Source organism: Homo sapiens, chromosome 16 (assembly GCF_000001405.40).
Source record: "Homo sapiens chromosome 16, GRCh38.p14 Primary Assembly".
Classification (NCBI taxonomy): Eukaryota; Metazoa; Chordata; class Mammalia; order Primates; family Hominidae; genus Homo; species Homo sapiens.
Genome location: NC_000016.10, coordinates 58,208,564 through 58,230,611, shown reverse-complemented (window position 1 = coordinate 58,230,611; position 22,048 = coordinate 58,208,564). Strand labels below are relative to the sequence as shown.

The 22,048-nt window shown below is 44.5% G+C and overlaps 2 annotated features.

Moving 5' to 3' along the window:
* Positions 7,673 to 7,967: an enhancer, noted in NCBI's record as "tiled region #11051; HepG2 Activating DNase matched - State 8:EnhW". NCBI's record gives its function as "activates a minimal TATA promoter and a strong SV40 promoter by Sharpr-MPRA in HepG2 cells {active_cell/tissue: HepG2}" and the evidence as "EXISTENCE:reporter gene assay evidence [ECO:0000049][PMID:27701403]".
* Positions 7,673 to 7,967: a silencer, noted in NCBI's record as "tiled region #11051; K562 Repressive non-DNase unmatched - State 24:Quies". NCBI's record gives its function as "represses a minimal TATA promoter and a strong SV40 promoter by Sharpr-MPRA in K562 cells {active_cell/tissue: K562}" and the evidence as "EXISTENCE:reporter gene assay evidence [ECO:0000049][PMID:27701403]".

Genomic DNA, 22,048 nt, shown 5'->3' with positions numbered 1-22,048 from the left:
AGGGGTCGAGGTTGGCGCCGAGCCCTTCAGGCTAGGTTTCCCAGGCCCCTGGGTCAGCTGGACGGTGCTGCCTAGAGCCCAGCAGGTAGGAGAATGGAAGAAGCTTACAGGCTGTAGCTGCGTCTCTTCCATGGGGTGCAGTAGCATCACCTGTCTCCTTGTTCCTGCAGCCAGGCGCAGGAGAGTGGGGGAGGGGAAGACAGTAGTGGCTTCCTACTGTCATGCCTCTTTGGTTTCCCCACTCTTCTATCACCTACAATCACCGCCAGTTTTAGATGCTTTTAGAATAGTTTCTCTCTTTCTGGTTAGATGCTCACTGATCCTGGCAGGGACCACCAGGGCCAGTGGGGAGATCTCCAGGCAAAAGGCCAAGTCTCATTCACTAAGACCATTCCACTGGTGGTGGCAGACCCAGGGGGATGATGGAGGGCCTAGATAAGCTCTAGATTGCCTGGGGAGTCACCAAAAGGATGGCTGCCAAATAAGTGCAGTAGCTCCTCTCAGACCAAGGAGCAATACGGGGAGGCCGACTTCTGTCCTGCTGGCCAAGGCTGCTCCCTCCAAGGCATCCCTCTGTTTGGTTCTGTGGACTGGAGATCCACGGGCCAGTCCTCAGTGTGAATTGCCTGGGATGGCTTCCTGGATAGACAGTAGCCCCAGGAGTGGAGAATGGCATCTTGGACCTCATGGTATTCCCAGTGCCTTATGCACAGTAGGTGATAATAATAACTCACATGTGAGCATTTACTATATGTAGGCACTGTTCTGAGCACTTAGCAGGTCTTAACTTATTAAGCATGTATTGTTGTGATCCCATTTTACAAATCAAAAAACTGGGGCACAGGGACTTAAAGTAACTGGTACCCAGTCAATATTGGTTGATGACAATAGCATCAATAATTAGTGTAGCAGAGTGCTTTAAAACACTGGCTTTGGAATTCCAAGGATAATGGTTCAAATCTGAGTTCTGTCCCTTGCTAGTGTGGAAACTTCTTTAGTTTCCTTCATTCTTGTAAAATAAAAATAATGATGCCCACCTGACCAGGTTCCTGGGAGGATTAAATAATGAATGAGCATCAGTCAAGTAGTATGTGTGTGCGTGTGTGTGTACATACATATATACATGCACACACATAACACAAAATTGTCCTTTACCACATGTACATTACACTTCAATTTTTTTCAGTTGTATACTTATTTGTTTATAATTAGTAATAACCCAAAAACAAGTCATAACCTTCAGCTTTAACAAATTAACAATTAGCTCAATTTATCTGATAAAATAATGTATATGATGAATTTGCCTATGATAATCTAGACCTTTGCCTCTAGTCATAAATTGCCCCTTTGGGGATCATATTAATAATCCCAGTGTATGAAATATATTTTTAACACTGCATTATTTTTAACTTTTTATGTTGAAATAGTTTCAGGTGCAAAATAGAATAAAGAATTGCCATACACCCTTTACCCAGATTCTCCAAATTCCCCAAATGTTAACATTTCACTACCTTCATTTTATCATTCTTTCTCTGCTTCTCTCTCTGTTTTTTTCTGAAACATTGAAGAGTAACTTACAAATCCAATGACTCTTTATTCCTAAATACTTTGGTGTTTATTTCCTAGAAATGAGGATATTTTCTTAAAAGATTATAAAAACCCAAAATATTAACATTGATATAATAGCATTATCTAATGAGATAACTTACTTAAATTTTGTCAGCTGGGCGCGGTGGCTCACGCCTGTAATCTCAACACTTTGGGAGGCCGAAGCAGGTGGATCACCTGAGGTCAGGAGTTTGAGACCAGCCTAGCCAACATGGTGAAACCATGTCTCTACTAAAAAAAAAAAAAAATAGCCGGATGTGGTGGCACATGCCTGTAATCCCACCTACTCATCTACTGGGGAGGCTGAGACAGGAGAATCGCTTGCACCTGGGAAGCGGAGGTTGCAGTGAGCTGAGATCGTGCCATTGCATTCCAGCCTGTGCAACGAGAGGACAAAACTCCATCTCAAAAAAAAAAAAAATTGTCAATTGTCCTACTAATATCCTTTAGAGTACAATAAATGAATGGATTTTTCTGTTCCAGGATTTTGTTTCGCGGTCATGTCTTTTTAGCATTCTTTGATCTGGAGCAGTTCATTTGTCTTTGTCTTGTGACCTTGACATTTTTGAAGAGTAAAGTCCAGTTATTTTTGAACAGTGCTTCTCAATTTGGGCTTGTCTGATGCTTCCTCGTGACCTGAGTCAGGTTGTGCATTGTGGGCAGGAATACCACCAAAGTGAAGCATCATTCTCAGTGCAGTGCATCAGGAGGCATTTGATATCTATGTGGTGATTTTCACTTTGATCACTTAGTTAGATGGTGCCTGCCAGATTTCTCTACTGTAAAATTAGTGTTTTTCCTTGTAATTTATAAATATCTTGTGGGAAGACACTTTGAGTCTATGTAAATATCCTGTTTCTCATTGTACTTTCACCCACCTGTTTCAGCATTCATTGGTGATGCTTGCCTAAATACCCTATGACAGCTGTCAAATGATGATTTTTCTAATTCCATCATTCTTTTACATTTCGTAGTCAGGATTCTACACTTATTTTTATCAGTATCGATAAAAAATTTTATGCTATAAGCTGTAATCTCTTACTACCACTATTCCATTTGATGCTCAAATTGTGCCAAATTGGGCCAAAGGGAGCCCCTTCAAGCTGGGTCCTGTGTCCTTTTGACATGTTCCCATCATTTTTTGTGTACTCACTTACTTTTGGCAAGCTAGATGTACATCTGTATTTCCCTCGTCCAAATCTGGAATCAGCCATTTCTCCAAACATTCCTGGTTCTTTTTGGTAGAGAATTTATACCTCAACTTTTAAAAAAGGAAGAAGCATGAGGAGGAGGAGGAGGAAGAGGAGGAGGAGGACTAGGAGGAGGAGGAGAACGAGGAGGACAAGGAGGAAGAAGAGAAATGCCCAAATTAAGAATTATACACATTGCAGTATATTTTAAGTGTTTACATTTTATAAAACCAATGGTTTTTAACCACCCCCCACAAAAAGTCATGCAAGTATAATTGTGTTCCCCCATAAGATAGTTAAAACAAAAGCCTATGTTTGAGGTTCTTCTTGAATGTGGGTTTGAATAACTTCTCTTCCTCCCCGTCACACTCCATGATGGGCCTATCCTAGGGATACTCAAATGGGGAGGTATAGGGAATTCCGCAGTGTCACGGTGAACCTCAGGGAGCTCTGCTTGAGTTCTCTGAACCCTGACTTTGACTTCCAAACCCAGGCCAGCTTTAAAAAGGTATCTGTTTTATATACTGGTATATTGGGATTTTGAATTTTATTTTATTTTATTTATTTTTTGAGACAGGATCTCACTGTGTCACCCCAGCTGGAGTGCAGTGGCAGAATCATAGCTCACTTCAACCTCGGACTCTTGGGCTCAAGCAATTCCACCACTGTGGCCTCCTGAGTAGCTGGAACTATAGGCACGTGCCACCACTCCCAGCCAATTTTTTAATTTTTATTTTGTAGAGATGGGGTCTTGCTATGTTGCCCAGCCTGGTCTCAAGGGAACTTCCTGGCCTCCTGGCCTCAAGGGAACCTCCACCTCAGCCTTTCAGTCACTGGGATTATGGTCATGAGCCACCATGTCTGACCTGGTGTATTGGGATTTTACTTTGTTTTGCTTGGGGAAGTTTGCAGGGAGCGGGGTGGGGAAGGTGGTTAAGAAGGGCCAAGACATCTGATTTCAAATCTTGGCTCTGGCAAGTGACTTAACATCTCTATGGATCAGCCTCCTCATCTGTAAAATGGGGATGTGGTGCCTCTGGAGGATCTTGCAGAGGGTGACATTATTCAATGCAGCCACTGGCACGTAAGAGCTGTAGATATGATGTTGGTGGTTGTCATGACTTCACATAAAGGCTGTGGCCTTTGGAGACGTCTACCCATTCTTAGATTCATCGCTTAAAATGATCCCTGAGAACCCCCACTATCCCCAGGGATTGTTGTTCACAAGTATCTCTCATGGCCCAGACCTGCAAGACCTCCATGCTGACCTGACGTTAGTCAAGCACCTGTATGCGTCTGTGCATCAGGCATCTGTGTCAGTCAGGACACTTTCTGGTGCAAATGACAGAATTCCAACGCCTGTCAAGTTAAACAAAACAAGGATCTATAGGCTCTTCCTCCACCTTCAGGCATGGCTGAATCCAGGGACACAATTAATGATGTCACCAAGTTACCAACTCTCTTTGTCTCTTCTGGGACTCAGTTTTCCTCTGTGTTGGCTTCACCTTGAGGCAGGCTCTTGTGCAGCAGCAAGATGTTCGATGGCCACGGGCTCATATCCCACCAGCTGTGCAACCCCCAAAAGGAGAGAGTGGCTTTTTCCCAGTCTGCAACTGTCTCAGGACTGATGCTTATTGGTCTGCTTGGGTCACGTGCCATCTCTGAACCAATCCCAGGTCATGTTCTGTGCTGGATCACTTCTGTTTGCCTCTCGATAGCCACTCTCCACCTTTTCCACCCTGCTCTGTGCCTTGGGAGGGCGACCCTTAGAGATGACAAAAACAAGCTCCCCTGCCTTCTGGGTTTAGGTTGGGTTGAGCAAATGGGAGGCACAAGAAGGAGACTGGAGGGCAAGAAGAGTAAGGTCAGAGTGTGCATTTTCCAGCTACTTCTCTCCCATGTCTCCATGCGCTGGCTGTGTGTGTCCACTGAAGGTTGCAGCTCCTGCTAAGGTGCTTTCTTCATACAGCACCATTCTTCATGGGTCCAGTAATCCCTCCCTCCTTGCCCCTTCAGATATGGGAGGTGATGGCTTCCTGCTACTATTGCAAGACCCAAGACAGTGCACCAACTCTTGTTTGTTTCCCTAAATCCTGCCTTCACCTTAGTAAAGAGACCCTATATAACACTCTCCTCAGTGACAGAGTTGAATGTGCCACCTATGTCCTGCTAATACAAACGCTCGCTTCTGGAACACAGGTGAGGTCTGCCTTAACAGACCACAAAAAGAAGAGACAGAACAGTGCTACCGGACAGAGAGCATCAAAGTGCTTTGTAAACCTCCAAGCATCAGACCATGTTGTGGGTCAGTATGGAAAGTCAGAGTCCTTTTTTTTTTTTCTGAAACAGAGTCTTACTCTGTCGCCCAGGCTGGAGTGCAGTGGCGTGATCTGGGCTCACTGCAACCTCTGCCTTCCAGGTTCAAGCAATTCTCCTGCCTCAGCCTCCCAAGTAGCTAGGACTACAGGCTTGTGCCACCACACCCAGCTAATTTCTATATTTCTCTTTAATAGATACGGGGTTTTACCATATTGACCAGGCTGGTCTTGAACTCCCCACCTCATGATCCACCCACCTCGGCCTCCCAAAGTGCTGGGATTACAGGCATGGCCACTGCGCCCAGCCTCTTTTGTTTGTTTGTTTGTTTGTTTTTTTGGGGGGGTTTTTTGTTTTGTTTTGTTTTGAGACAGTCGCACTCTGCCATGCAGGCTGGAATGCAGTGGTATGATCTTAGCTCACTGCAACCTCCGCTTCCCAGATTCAAGTGATTCTTCTGCCTCAGCCTCCCGAGTAACTGAAATTATAGGCACGCGCCACCACACCGGCTAATTTTTTGTATTTTTGGTAGAGATGGGGTTTCACCATGTTGGCCAGGCTGGTCTCGAACTCCTGGCCTCAAGTGATCTCCCCACCTCAGCCTCCCAAAGTGCTGGGATTACAGGCGTGAGCCACCCAGCCTGGCCCAGAGTCCCTTTTAATCTTGGTTTCATCCTCCTTCCTCTGAGCTTCACCAAATGATGGAACGAGGAAGGGAACTGGGTTTGGAGTCCCCTCTCTCCTATCTCCCTCTCTCTTATATTTCCCACTAGCTGTGTGACCTGAGCAAGCTTTTCTGAGCCTCTCTTAAATGAAGAAGCATTGCCTGCTTCCCCCATATGGTTGTGAACAGAATGAGATAAAATGATGGCCACGGGGAAGGATGCTGGCATCTAGAGTTCCCTGGTCACTGTGTGTTAAAACCTCAGGACTTTGTGACACTCTCAGGTGTCCCCTTCCTTCTTGTTTGTGATTCCTCTTGTTTCCATTGTGGCTACGGAAGATTCTAGTCCTCTGCCAGCCACTTTCTGCATGACCTTAGAGAAGACCACCTATACCTCCCATCCACTCCTCGCCAGTATGTTATGAAGATCAAAAGTGATAACACACTTTCACGGTCTTTCTGTCTCACCCCAACCTGCAGGAGGCCAAAAGCTCCTTGAAGGCAGGGATGTCATCTCTTTTGTCCCCTGTGTTTTCCCCATGCCAAGGAGAGAGCAGCACAGACCAAGTGCCCAATAAGCAGGTGCTGAATAAACCAAGCCAAACAGAAATCAAGAAAGACCTGGTCGTTGTTGTTGTTTTACTCCTGGATATTAAAAGCAAAATGTGCCGGGCACGGTGGTTCAGCCTGTAATCTCAGCACTTTGGGAGGCCGAGGCGGGTGGATCATCTGAGGTCAGGAGATCGAGACCAGCCTGGCCAACATGGTGAAACCCCGTCTCTACTAAAACAAAAATTAGCTGGGCTTGGTGGCGCACACCTGTAATCCCAGCTACTTGGGAGGCTGAGACAGGAGAATCACTTGAACCCAGGAGGCAGAGATTACAGTGACCTGAGATCGCACCATTGCACTCCAGCCTGGGCAACAAGAGCAAAGCTCAGTCTCAAAAAAAAAAAAAGCAAAATGGAGAAATGTAAAAACAGGGTTACAAACTGCCCAAATGGCCAGCCTCGCCGTGGGTGATAATAATAATATCACCTACACTACAGGCTTGTTTCAAGATTGAAATGAGATCATGTACGGAAGGCACTGGGCACGGTACCACCCTGCAGCCAACGTTGGGCGGATTCTCTGGGAAGGAGTGACTTGGAGGACCAGCGCCTGGCTGAGAGGCCAACATGGGCTGAGCATGTCTCTGTCCCTGCCGGTCTGGCACTCGCTGCCGAGTTAATTGTGGATCTCAAGGAGGGAGGCTGTTGTCTTGGAGGAAGTTGTGTCTCTCTGTTTCTCTCAGGAGGGACACTGTGGCTGATAAAAAGGCAAAGAGAGGCTGGGTGCGGTGGCTTATGCCTGTAATCCCAGCACTTTGGGAGGCCAAGGTGGGGGAATCACTTGAGGTCAGGAGTTCGAGACAAGCCTGGCCAACATGGCAAAACCCCATCTCTACTGAAAATACAAAAATTAGCTGGGTGTGGTGGCGCATGCCTGTAATTTCAGCTATGCGGGAGGCTGAGGCAGGAGAATTGCTTGAATCTGGGAGGTGGAAGTTGCAGTGAGCCAAGACTGCACCACTGCACTCCAGCCTGGGTGGCAGAGTGATACTCTGTCTCAAAAAAAAAAAAAAAGCAAACAGAGACTCTGGGTTGGGCTGAGAGGACGAGAGGACACTAGACTCAGCTACTAACTTGAGCATCTGATGAATGATCTAATTTGTCTGGGCCTCAGTCTCCTCATCTGGAAAATGGAGATATTTACACCAGTTCCATCTACTTCACAAGTAGTCCTGGGGAGCAAATTTTAAAAATGGCTAGAATTAGGAGCTCCTGGAAAATATAGGATCCCTAAAGAAGCTCAAGGGATCATTAAAACCTTTCCCTCCCTCCAAAACACACTTAGGCCCGAGGGCCCCCAGAGCCTCATTTCCAAGACTCTTCCTCTACTTTCCGCCATCCCTTCCTCTCACCCTTTGCTCTAATCAATGAACCTTGCACAACTTCCCCAGGCTGGCTGCAAGAGAACTCTGTGCAAAGGCCTGGATTGAAATGTCCCTGGTTTCTATTGATCTGGAAGGGACTCCTCCTCTAGGATTGCTGAAACAGGGCACCCCGCAGGCGACAGCTCCGCAGGCAGCTCCTGTGAAGGGAGGAGAGGAGCCATCTCCACCCTCCTGGAAAGTGAGTCACCCTATCAACATGCCCTTCTGACATCACAGCTGGTTCTACCAGATCCCCCTAGAGCTGAGGCCTGCCCTTGCCAAGCCGGCCCTTGCCAACCCTGGCCCTCCTCCCTTCTCTGGAATCAGAAGCAGAAGACACAAACGGACCAGGCCAGAACTATCAGGACCCCAGAACCCCACTCTATTCAAAAGTCTTCCCAATGATCACCTTTGTAAAACAAAAACTATGATTACTGAATAACACAGAGTAAAAAGAGAAAATGTCCCCTCCCTGCCCGCCATCCCGGTCCACGCACCCAAAGAAACCATTATTAATAGCTCAATGTGGAAACATTCCAGATTTTGTCTAATGCATATTCAATGTTTAAAATTAACATTTAATTTTGCAACTAATACAGAAATCTTTCTTTTTTGAGGAAAAAAAAAATGAAGCAGAGCAAAATCTGCTTTGACCTTTACCCACCACCTGAGTCCACTCTTGCCACAGCCCGTGGGTTATCTTCACCTTTCTCTATGTGCTTTTATGTGTACATATGTCTATGTCCATGGGAAATAGAAAGCTGTATTTTGTGTACATGTGTTTTATATAAATGCTGACATATATCACACCTATTATTTGCCAGTCCCAGTCACACTGAGTCTAAGGATCTCTGCAATGTTGGACATACATAGCTACCTTGCTCTAAGCATGTCAATGGTATTCTTTTACATAAATATATCAACATTTATTTATCCTTTTCTTATTGATAAATATTTAGGTTGTTTCCAATTTTTCTTAGATCTTTTATAAAAATTTTTTTCAACTTTGACCAAATTCATTCATGTTCATGGTATTAATAAGTCAAATAATACAAGGCTTATAGAAAAAAATCAGTAATCAACCCCCAATTACATCCACTTCCGAGTCCTGCTCTGGTAAGAAAACGATTTGCCACTTTCAGGCCAGGCACAGTGGCTTAAGCCTGTAATTCCAGCACTTTGGAAGGCCAAGGCAGGCGGATCACCTGAGGCCAGGAGTTCCAGACCAGTCTGGGCAACATGGTGAACCCCCACCTCTACTAAAAATACACACACACACACACACACACACACAAAATCAGCCAGGCATGGAGGGGTGGGGTCAGGCACCTGTAGTCCTAACTACTCCAGAAGCTGAGGCAGGAGAATCGCTTGAACTCAGAAAGTGGAGGCTGCAGTGAGCCCAGATCATGCCACTGCACTCCAGCCTGGGGGACAGAGCCAGACCCCATCTCAAAAAAAAAAAAAAGGGAAAAGAAAATGACTTGCCACTTTCAGCTCTTTCTTCTGGTACTTACCTCCATATTTACAAATAAGATGCTAATGTATGATTTCTTGATTTCTCAACCTTAGACATGATTGACTGCCTTCCTACTGTGGTGGAAGTGGATTTAATGCTTTACACTCACCACCCCACCAACTTGTCTGTCAATTATTCCCATATAATAGTTTTCCAGTTAAATCAGTATCCCCTGTTTACATTATTGTAACCATAGAACTACTTTTTCCTGCCAAACAGTGGTTCTGTACTTTAACTGCACATCGAACCATACAGGGAGTTTTAAACAATCTCAGAGCCCAGCCCACACCCTAGATCTAGTCAACCAGGCTGTCTGGGAGTGGGGTCCAGGTATCAGGATGTTTTGACACTCCCAAAGGGATTCCAATGTTTAGCCAAGAGCAAGAACCACTGTTGCTAAAGCCACGTATGATTACATTGTTTTCTTTGTTTAATATTTCCTCTGGGAAATATTTTTTTACACCTGCTTAGATTTCTATGTTTCTATCACAAATTCTTTTAAAACTCTCCAACAGAAGTGTAAAACCCCTCTGGATGCTATTGTCTACACTGTCAAGCACAACATCATTTAGAAATTCCATTTCCCACAAGGATGCTCTGGAGCCATCCTACTCCACTACAGAAAGCTCATTCTGTCTGTGTGGCCCAGCCACAACTCTCTCTCTTTCTTCTGTGTTGCTTTCTGTATTTCCTGGGTCTCTTATCTTTCTCTTTCTTGATACTCTCTTCTTTTTGGTAGAGCAGATCCTCTAGTAGCTTTCTGAGAAAGGGTGCATGGGAGTATATTTTTTGAGACCTTGTATGTCTGAAAATGTTTTTATGCTACCCTCAAACTTGAGGGACTGAGACTTCGGCTTGGAATTCTAGAATTCTAGAGTTGGAAATTATTTTTGCTAAGAATTTTTGAAACCATTACATTTGGGCTCCCATTGTGTATTTGGAGAAGTCCAATGCCATTCTCATTCCTGATCTTGTGTATAAAGCCTGTATTGTCTTTAAAGAAGTTCTTGGGCTGTTCTCTTTAATTTGTGTAGTCTGAAGTTTTGTGATTATGTGACTCTATTTTATTCATTTTTCTGGGCATTTGATAGTTCCTTTCAACCTGAAAGTCATGTTCTTGAAAAATTTTTTTTAGACAGCGTCTCACTCTGTCACCCAGGCTGGAGTGCAGTGGCACAATCACAGCTCACTGAAACCTCCACCTCCTGGGCTCAAATGATCCTACTATATCAGCCTCCTGAGTAGCTGGGACTACAGATGTGTGCTACCATCCCTGGCTAATTTTTATTATTTTTAGTAAAGATGGGTTTTTGCCATGTTGCCCAGGCTGGTCTTGAACTCCTGGGCTCAAGCCATCTGCCTGTTTTAGCCTCCCAAAGTGCTGGGATTACAGGTGTGAGAAAAAATTTTACGAATTAGTCTTATAACAATTTTCTGTACCCCGTATTTTCTTTTTCTGAAATTTCTATTAGTTGTACCTTGGACCTCTTGGATATTTTTCTTTTCTATTTTTATCTCTTTCTATTTCTCTTCTTATCCTACTTTTGAAGGATTTCTTTAACCTTTCCTGCCTCAAACTCCCATGGAATGTTTTATTTCTACTTTCACATTTTTCATTTACAAGAACTCTTTCTTGTCTTCTGGTAGCTTCCTGCAGCAGACATTGTTGGTGCCCTATCCACAAATCCTTGGCATTAGCTCCTGCATGATGCCCAAGGCTATTTTCTGTAAATATCTATGACTGTCTGCACAAGGGCTGTTTTCTTCCAAGTAGCATCCTCAGTCTGAGTACAGGACAAGCTGGAAGAAAGTAAGGTCAATTCCCTTAGAAGCAGTTAGTGGATTATTGCCCATTGATTGGGATGCTTCTGCAGCAAGTTCTACACCATCTCTTGGAGTTTCCTAGTAATATCAAGCTCCAGCTGTCTACAACGCTAACTGGCTGGATAGCACACCTTTTATTGGCTTCCCTCACTTCCCTGTCTCACTTCCCCAATCCTCAACTTGTATTTTCTGTGAATACCTGCCAAAATTTACTTATACTGGAATCATTGTCTCAGAGTCTGCTGCTGGGGAAACCCAAACCAAGATACCCTGATATGGTTTGGATGTGTGTCCCCACCCAAATCTCATGTAGAATTGTAATCCCCAGTGTTGAAGGTGGGGCCTGGAGGGAAGTGATTGGATCATGGGGGCCGATTTCCCCACTTGGTACTTTACAGTGAGTGAGTTCTCATGATATCTGGTTGTTTAAAGTGTGTGGCATCTCCCCCATCTCTCTCTTGCTCCTTGCTCTGGCCATGAAATATGTCCCTGCTTTCCCTTCGCCTACCACCATGATTGTAATCTTCCCAAGGCCTTCCCAGAGGCAGAAGCCCCTGTGCTACCAGTATAACCTGCGGAACTCTGAGCCAGTTAAACCTCTTTTCTTTATAAATTACTCATATCAGGTATTTCTTTACAGCAGTGCAAGAATGGCTGCCCCTCCTTTTTAAAAGTAAAATCTTATTCTTGTCTTATGGATGCAATAGCTCATTATTTCTGTAAGAATATGAATTATAGTGAGATGTAACTTTTTTTTTTTTGAGACAGAGTCTCACTCTGTCACCCAGGCTGGAGTGGAGTGGCGCAATCTCGGCTTACTGCAAGCTCCACCTCCCAGGTTCACGCCATTCGCCTGCCTCAGCCTCCCGAGTAGCTGGGACTACAGGTGCCTGCCACCACGCCCGGCTAATTTTTTGTATTTTTTAGTAGAGACAGGGTTTCACCATGTTAGCCAGGATGGTCTCAATCTCCTGACCTCGTGATCCGCCTGCCTTGGCCTCCCAAAGTGCTGGGATTACAGGAGATCTAGCTTTTTAAAAAGGCACACACCTGCTTCTATGCGGAGAACTTAGCTTGGCCCATAATATCTAGGCTAATTTTCTGAGTCTTCTCTAGTGATAATTCTCCAGTCTCCTGCTGAGGAAGGATATGTGCCTGGCTGGCAGCATCCTTAAAGCCAAGGAAGGGCTAGGGTTCACACAGACTTTCATATATCATCCCCGTTTTTAGTATAGTGTCTCCCCCTCCCTTCTGCCATGTCTAGAGTCCTTTATTTTTTTGAGATGACATTTCGCTCTTGTTGCTCAGGCTGGAGTGCAATGGCACCATCTCGGCTCACTGCAACCTCTACCTCCCAGGTTCAAGTGATTCTCTTCCCTCAGCCTCATAAGTAGCTGGGATTACAGGCGCCTGCCACCACACCTGGCTAATTTTTTGTGTTTTTAGTAGAGATGGGGTTTCACCATGTTGACCAGGCTGGTCTCAAACTCCTGACCTCAAGTGATCCACCCGCCTTGGCTTCCCAAAGTGTTGGGTTTACAGGCATGAGCCACTGCACCCGGCCTCTAGTGTCCTTAAGTCTCATTTTTCTGTAGAACAAATTTCTGGCAAGGTCAGGAAAGGGTAGTTGCCCGGGCGCCCCAGATTTGAAAGGGGATCCAAGTGGTTATTCCAGTTATAACTGCTATGCAAAAAATCACCCCAAACTAATTAAAATAAAAACACTGATTTTACTGTCTCTCATACTTTCTGTGGCTGAAGAATTTGGGAAGGGCTCAGCTGGGTAGTTCTAGTTTGGGATCTCTCATGCTGTTGCAGCCAAACAATGATTGAAACTGGATTAGCATGCAGCTGGCAAAGCATCTATCTCTCTTTCTCTGAAGTCTCAGGTCTTCTCCATGTGGTTTCTCCATATGAGCTGTTTTAAGCTTCCTTACAGTATGGCAGTGTCAGGGCAGTCAAACTGTTCACATAGAGATTTATAGTTTTAGCATGAGAGTTCCAGCCTTGGAAATTATGCACCATCACTTCCACTGAATTCTATTGTTACAAATGAGTCACTTGAATTGAGCCTGCCTCAACTCAAGGGGAGGGGACCTAGACTATATCTCTCAAGAGGAGGAATGTCACAGTCACACTGTGGAATAGCATGTGGAATGGGAGATATTTGTAGTGGCTATCTCTGAAAAACACAATCTCTACAGTGGTCTCACCACCTCTTATATGGGGTTCCTAGTTTTACTTCTGTTTTCAAGCCCATTCCACCTCTGTCTTAGTCCATTTTGTATTGCAATAGCAGAATACTATAGACTTGGTAATTCATAAAGAAAATAAATGTATTTGGCTCACAGTTCTGGAGTCTGGGAAGTCCAAGAGCATGGTGCAAGCATCTAGTGAGGGCCTTTGGGCACCATCATCCATGACAGAAGGTGAAAAGGCAAGACAGTATGGGAGCAAGAGGGGGACAAACTGGATTTTACAACAAGCTCACTTTTGTAGTAATGAACCCACCCCTGTGACAATAACATTAATCCATTCATAAGAGCAGGGAGTCCTCATAACCTAATCACTTCTGATTAGACCCCACCTCCCAACACTGTTGCACTGGGGATTAAGTTTCCAACACAAGGTCTTTGGGGGACACATTCAAATCATAACAACCTCCAACACATCATTCTGACTAAATTTCTGGCATTTGGGGTTTTAGTCCATAGATCTTTCTGTTTCTTGTGGGGAGACCCCTTGTACAGGTGTGCAGGTTGGGCAGCACAGTGGAACCATATCTTAGGGGTGCCATTCACCTTGTAAACATTTTTGCTTTGTCCTCTTATTATGATAATGTTCCAGCAGGTAGCAGTAAAGGGTGGGAGGAACGCACATTATATCACTTTCCCACTAGATGGATGTCAAGCATCTAGAGGAAAGGAAGCCACTTCTCCATGCAAAGACTACAGGCTAACGGGTACACTGACTGCTGGTTGATATTTCCTTCTGCAGGCATTTTCAGCTCTACCAAACTCACCTGCTTTCCACCTTCCAAAAATGTGTTTAAAACTCTCATCTGCGGCCGGGCGCAGTGGCTCACGCCTGTAATCCCAGCACTTTGGGAGGCGGAGGAGGGCGGATCATGAGGTCAGGAGACCAAGACCATCCTGGCTAACACGGTGAAACCCCATCTCTACTAAAAATACAAAAAATAAGCCAGGCATGGTGGTGGGCGCCTGTAGTCCTAGCTACTCGGAGAGGCTGAGGCAGGAGAATGGCGTGAACCCGGGAGGCGGAGCTTGCAGTCAGCCGAGATCATGCCACTGCACTCCAGCCTGGGCGACAGAGAGAGACTCCGTCTCAAAAAAAAAAAAAAAAAAAAACACCAAAACCAAAACTCTCATCTGCTATTTTCCTGTCTCTGCTTCATTTTGTTTCTTTTGTGAGTTTATACCTTTTTAGTTCATTGACTCTGATTTTGGTTGGGCTTTGGGAGGGGGCAGACAAAAATGAATGCCTTCAATCTATGAAGTGAAAGTGCCATGTTTTCCATTTTTCCCCCAGTGTAGATTGCTGCAATGATGCTTCCCTACACACGTGAGTATTCATACCCCTTTGTACAGTTTACTTTTACAAAAATGGATCGTGCTGTACATATCATTGGACGATTCGCTTTTTTTCACTTAATATATTCTGGACATCTTTCAATGTCAGCATATATAGATTTATCTTACTCTTTATGAAAGCTGCATAATGTTCCAAGGTAGGGACAGAAGTCCTATTCCAGAGGAGAGAAAAAAGAAAAAAGTACCCGTTCATCATTCCTTATCCCCCAGTGGGTGGGGATGACAGCAGGGCAGGCATCTCTGCTGTCAAGGAGCAGGATTTGGTGGGTGGGAATGGGTTGCACATAGTTTTAACCATATCTTTGCCTCTGTATTTACATAATTAGAGTTATAGTGTGGACAACTCAGATTCTGATTTTTTCCCTTTGGCTTTTTTCCTATAAACCATGATTTCTCAATTGTGGCACCACTGACATTTTGGACCAGATAATTCTTTGTTGCAGAAGCTGTCCTGTGCATTACAGGATGTTTAGTACATCATGGCCTCCACCACTAGATACCCACCACTTTCCCATTGGTGACAATAAAAAATGTCTCCACTCATTGCTTAATGTGCCCCAGGGAAACAAATCACCCCCTATTGAAAACCACTGCTATAAACTGATCTGAAGACCTCTTAGCAATCTACAACGCAGTTAGTAAAAACCCAGTTTTTACTTCTTGTGTTTCTGTCACAACTCTTTATTTATTAATTGGGGAGAACACACTTTCTCAGCACTCTATTCCCCTGTGTGCTCAGATAAGGGTTTCATTTCTCTTAACTTACTCTTGAGTTTTGTTTCCTGTCAAATTTATTTGCTGGCTTTCTTTCAAAAAATGTCAAAAAACTCAAATGTAATACATATTTATTGTGGAAAATTGGAAGATACAGACAAGCTCAGGGAAGAAAACTTTAAAATTTCCTTAAACCCCCTCGAGATAACCACTGATAACATAATTTTGGTCATTCTTCTTTTTTTTTTTTTTTTAGACAGAGTTTCACTCTTGTCGCCCAGGCTGGAGTGCAGTGGCACAATCTTGGCTCACTGCAACCTCCGCCTCCCAGGTTCAAGCAGTTCTCCTGCCTCAGCCTCCCGAGTAGCTAGGATTACAGGTGCCTGCCACCACACGCAGCTAATGTTTTGTATTTTTAGTAGAGACAGGGTTTCACCATGTTGGCCAGACTGGTCTTGAACTCCTGACCTCAGGTCGTCTGCCCGCCTTGGCCTCCCAAAGTGCTGAGATTACAGGCATGAACCACCGCTCCCAGCCCCATTATTCTTATTTTTTAAGAGATGGGGTCTTTCCATGTTGCCCAAGCTGAAGGGCAGTGGCTATTCACAAGTGCAATCATGGCACACTATAACCTCAAACTCCTGGCCTCAAGCAATTCTCCCACCTCAGCCTCTCAAGTAGCTGGGACTATAGGCACATGCCACCGCACCTGGCTAGGTGATTATTTTTGTAGCCTTTTCGTTTTTTTCTCTCTCTTCTTCTGTGTAGAATGTAAGCATCCATGTATACACACACACACATTTGTATAAAATTTTAAGGAAAACCCTTCTTCTCCAGGTCCTAACATTGTAATGTCTCCCCCTGCTTTAAGTTCCCAGAGTATTTTGCAATCCCTTCTCATTTGTGCATCCAGGTGTCTCCACCTTATAGCTTAAGTTCTGGTGTCTATGGTGATTAAGGCCATCACTTATTGGTATCTTTTTTTTGAGACATAGTCGCACTCTGTCATTCAGGCTGGAGTGCAGTGGTGTGATCTCGGCTCACTGTGACCTCCATGTCCACGTCCCAGGTTCATGTGATTCTCCTGCCTCAGCCTCCCAAGTAGCTGGGATTACAGGCGCCCGCCACCATGCCCAGCCAATTTTTGTATTTTTAGTAGAGACGAGGTTTCACCATGTTGGCCAGGCTGGTCTCGAACTCCTGACCTCAAGTGATCCACCTGCCTCGGCCTCCCAAAGTGCTGGGATTACAGGCATGATTATTGGTATCATTTTTGAAATACAGCAAATAACTCCTGTTCCCTTTCAAAGTATAACTTTAAGAACATTAAAAATGCAACTGTTATACAAGTGAGCATGCACCAAGATACATATAACTTGTTAATGGGGGACCCAGCAGTATGGTAAAGATTAGTGCAAAAGAGAATTAGAGGGAAAAGGGTTATATAGTCCATCAAGAAAGACACACTAAAATCAGTTTGTTAGGTTAGAGACAAAACTGATTAATAGCCAACAGGGCAAATAAAACGGTAACCTTTGGGGTTCTCTTTTCTACTAGACAAAAATCATTTGCATCTCTATCAAACAAAATTCTACAAATTAGCACATAACTTTATAGAATCTGGGCCCCAGTCAACAGTAAAGTTGAAGTCAAACAAAGGTACGTCCCTCAGATTATGAAACAATCCAGGAGTGGTCTGTTAAGCAATGCCCAGCATGCACTGAAGTGACGCACAGTCTTCTTCTTGCCTTATTTGCCACGTTTGGGATCATTTTTCTCAATATCCCATAGTTCCCCAAGCACACTCTGCACAGTATTTCCCTAAGGGAAAGTGGACAAGATTTCTGTGGTTCCTTGTCATCTCTCATCTTCCTCTCCTCTACCCACACTCTAAGAAGGTGAGACCAGTCCCCAGGGACCTGGGTATTTCCAATTAGTTACTGCACCTGGCCTGGCTTCCTCTTCCATATGGCCTTCCTTCCTTCCTTCCTTTTTCTTTCCTTCCTTCCTTCTTTCCTTCCCTCCTTTTCATTTCTCTCTCCCTCCCTCCCACCTTTCCTTTCCTTCCCTCCCATCCCTCCCTCCCTCCCTTCTCTCCTTCCCTCCTTCCCTTCCTCTTTTTCTTTCCTCCCTCACTCCCTTCCTTCCTATCTTTCTTTTCTTGAAACTTCCCTTTTTTCCTTCCTTCTTTCTTCCCCTCTTCCCTCATTTCCTCCCTCCCTTTCTTCCTCCTCTCCCTTCCTTTCTTTTCTTCCTCCTTCTTTCTTCCCTCCCTCCCCTCACTCTCCTCCCTCTTTCTTTCTTTCTTTTTTTTTTTTTTGGTGGACTCTGGCTCTGTCACCCAGGCTGGAGTGCAGTGGCACAATCTCAGCTCACCACAACATCTGCCTCCTGGGTTCAAGCAATTCTCATGCCTCAGCCTCCCGAATAGCTGGGATTACAGGTGCATACCCCAACGCCCAGCTGATTTTTGTATGTTTAGTAGAGACGGGGTTTCACCATGTTGTCCAGGCTGGTCTTGAACTCCTGATCTCAAGTGATCTGCCCACCTCAGCCTCCAAGTGCTGAGATTACAGGCGTGAGCCACTACACTGGCCCCTCCTTCCTCCTTATTCTTTCCTTTCTTCCTCCTTCCTTCATCCTTCTCTCCCCCTCTGTCTCCCTCCCTGCCTTCCTTTCTTCCTTCTTCCCTTCTTACTTGCTTTCATTTTTATGAATATATAACTTTCATGGAGATATAATTCACATACCAAAGTGTACAATTTTATTATCATATAATAGTCTATAGGATAGATATACCAGGTTTCATGTATCCATTAATTAGTTGATGGGCGGGCATATGAGTTATTTTCACTCCTTGGCTATTTTGAAAAATCCTGCTATAAACATTAATTACAAGTTTTGGAGGGGACTTATGTTTTAATTTCTCTTGAGTATAATATACCTAGGCATGAAGTTTCTGGCTCATGCGGTAACTGTGTTTAATCTTTCTAGGAACTACCAAGCTGTTTTCCAAAGTGGCTGCACCATTTTGCATCCCCACCAGCCCTGAATGTATGAGGGTTCTAATTTCTCCACATCTTGTTAACACTTGTTACTATCTATCTTTTTTATTACAGCCATCCTAGTGGGCTAGAAGTGGTATCTCATTGTGGTTTTGTGGCCTTGCTTCTTAAACCAATCTTGCACAGACACCAATTTTGCGCACAGACACCAATTTTGCACACAATCGGAGGTACCCAGCACCATGGCATCAGGTTATAAATTTCCATTCATAGATTAAGTCTGATCAATGAGTGAAGACTGCCTTTCTGAGCCACCCCACAGGTGGGGGGTCTCAAAGGGGTATGGCCGCTACACCAAGCCCTGCCCACCGTGGGGAGAGAATCTAGAAAGATGCTCTTTTGGCCACATCAGGATCAAGTTCTTGCAGTAAATAGCAGCAGTAAGTGCCATGGTTTGTAACGTGAGGCAGTAGACAGAGGAATGCAGGCTGGCCCTGGGCTGGGCCCCCTCAAGGAGGTCCCAGGTCTCCCTATGGTGTCATTTGAGGCCTGCCCAAAACAAAATGACCTCCTTCACCACCCTGCCATACTCAGAGATTCCACCACATTCCCAGAGGTAAGTAAATAAGTTGCCACCTTTTTAAAGTGTGAATCCTTCTGGGAGGGGTAAGCATCTTGCAAGAAGTCCATACCTTATTGTGAATTAGCTTATCAGATAGATGCCAACCCACACCCTGCAGGGACAGGACTCAGAGGAAGTGGGAGTTTTGAGTCATTGGGAAGGGTGGGAACAGGATATGAGGGAGCTCTGGTAGAAAAGGGGCAGCAGTGCTCAAGAGGTGACATTTCAGGATGCCAAGATGGGGCCAGAATTGGGTCAGTGGGGCTCAGGGAAGGTTTTCATCTTCATTCATCAATGGACAGTGGTCATGATTCATTTATTCTATGTGACACATTGTGCTAAGTGCTTTGCATACAATTTTTCTATTTTATTTATTTAACAAACACTTACATAGCACCATGTGCCACCACCTACCTCTCAAACCCCACATGCCACATCTTGTTAGCTTCCCCTAAAATATGATTCCCGAATCTGAGCATTTCTCACCACCTTCCCAACCATCCTCCTCACTTTCCTGGTTTCCTGCAGGTCTCCTGGCTGGTGACTCTGCTTCCACATTTGCAGTTAGAGCAATCCTTTATAAAGCAATATCTCTTCTGCATTCAACATGTGCCAATGGCTTCCTATCTTGGTCACTACTGTAGTCCTTACAATAAGGTGCTTGAACCATCCCTCTTACCTGGCTGACATTACTTGCCTACTGGCTCAGCCACAGGACACCTGCTTTTCCTCCAACACACCAGCATGCTTCTTGCAGGGCCATTGCAATTACTATCGTGTTCTCCCTAGAACATTCTTCCCCCAGAATCTGCCTTGCTGATGCCTTCACTTCTTCAAGTCTCAGCTTAAATGTCACCTTCTCAGAGAGACCTTTCTTAACACTGCCTCCTCTATCTCAAAGAGCCCTGTATTGCCAGCTTGCTCACTGTCAGAAAAGAGGATTACAAATATAGACAGAAAACTAGAATGAGTTCTGTGGTGTTAGATTGGAATTGGAGGCATGAAATGTACTCATAGTTTTCAATATACACAAATAAATACAGAAATAAATAAATGTATAAATGTGTGTCTGCATGTATATGTTATTGAATGTATACATACATGTATTCTCTAGCTCAGCCTGGGAGCAGCAATAGTTCAATAACAATGAGCACACTCATGCCCTGATGTTGGCTTCTAAACACTAGTCTCCACTAAAAGGAATCAGGATCCCTTTGAGCAATGGTTGATTCCAGGGCTGGAACAGGAAAAGTAGAAGATGAACCAGGAGCAAATTTTGTGCCAAAAACAAGAAAGCGATCAGAGGACGATAGGACAGGTAAAAGGGATTCAGGAGCCAGTTGGAAGGGGCTCCCACCAGCAAATAGAAATGATTTGAGCATCAAAATAACTCATGATAATAATGGATTATAACTCATTGAATAAAATAGATATCCATGAGTCCATAATAATATAAATAACTGCTGGGCCTGGTGGCTCACCTCTGCAGTCCCAGCACTTTGGGAGGACAAGGTGGGTGGATTACTTGAGCCCGGGAGTTCAAGACCAGCCTGTGCAACATACAAAGACCCCCATAGCTACAAACAACTTTTAAAAATTTAGCCGGGCATAGTGGCAAGCGCCTGGGGTTCCAGCTACTTGGGAGGCTGAGGTGGGAGGATCGCTTGAGCTTGGGAGGTCAAGGCTGTAGTGAGCAGTGATCGTGTCACTGCACTCCAGGCTGGGCAACAGAGCAAGTCTCTGTCTCAGAAAACAAACAAAAGGCTGGGTGCCGTGGCTCACGCCTGTAATCCCCCACTTTGGGAGGCCAAGGAGGGCGGATCACGAGGTCAGGAGATTGAGACCATCCTGGCTAACACGGTGAAACCCCGTCTCCACTAACAAAATACAAAAAAATTAACCAGGCATGGTGGCGGGCACCTGTAGTCCCAGCTACTTGGGAGGCTGAGGTAGGAGAATGGTGTGAATCCGGGAGGCAGAGCTTGCAGTGAGCCAAGATTGCGCCACTGCACTCCAGCCTGGGCGACAGAGCGAGACTCCATCTCAAAAAAAAAAAAAAAAAAAAAAAAAAAAGCAAACAACAACAACAAAAAACCAATAATATAAATAATTAAATAGAAAGTTTGATGAGGACTAGGATAATTACATAGTTTTCAAAATGCCTTAACCCTTCTTTTCTAGGTCTTTGTAGTCAGAATTTTTTTTAATAAAAAAAATTTAAACAAAGAAAATACCTCAGTCCCAAGTATGAATTCATTAAAAACATAAAAAGGGCCAGGCACAGTGGGTCACGCCTGTAATCCCAGCACTTTGGGATTTGGTGACATTTAATATCCCCTGAGGAGGGCAGATCACAAGGTCAGGAGTTTGAGACCAGCCTGGCCAACATGGTGAAACCCCGTCTCTACTAAAAATACAAAAAAATTAGCTGGGTGTGGTGGCAGGCACCTGTAATCCCAGCTACTTGAGAGGCTGAGGCAGGAGAGTTGCTTGAACCTGGGAGGCGGAGGTTGCAGTGAGCTGAGATCACACCACTGCACTCCAGCCCGGGTGACAGTATGAGATTCTGTCTCAAAAAAAAAAAAAAAAAAAAAAAAAAGCTTAAAAAGAGTCACTTTACAGTAAAGAAATCTGGCATACACTACCCTGATAATCAACTGATTGAAGTTAATATCTTCAGTAATGGGACCAAGAAAACTGTATGCCACCTGGTAGGATGCAATGAGAAGAACACAGCTTTATTTCTGTGATATTTCTGCCAGAGATGCATAATCTGAATCTAATTATGAAGAAACATCAGATAACCCCATTCAGGAATATGTCACAAAATAACTCACAAATAATCTTCAAAAAGACACTAAAAAACTGTCATAAATGGAAAGAGATTTTTAAAAATGACCACTAAATGCTGCACGTGGTTACTGAGGGGATCTTTTTGCTCTAAAGCAGTGGTCCCCAACCTTTTTGGCACCAGGGACTGGTTTTGTAGAAGACAATTTG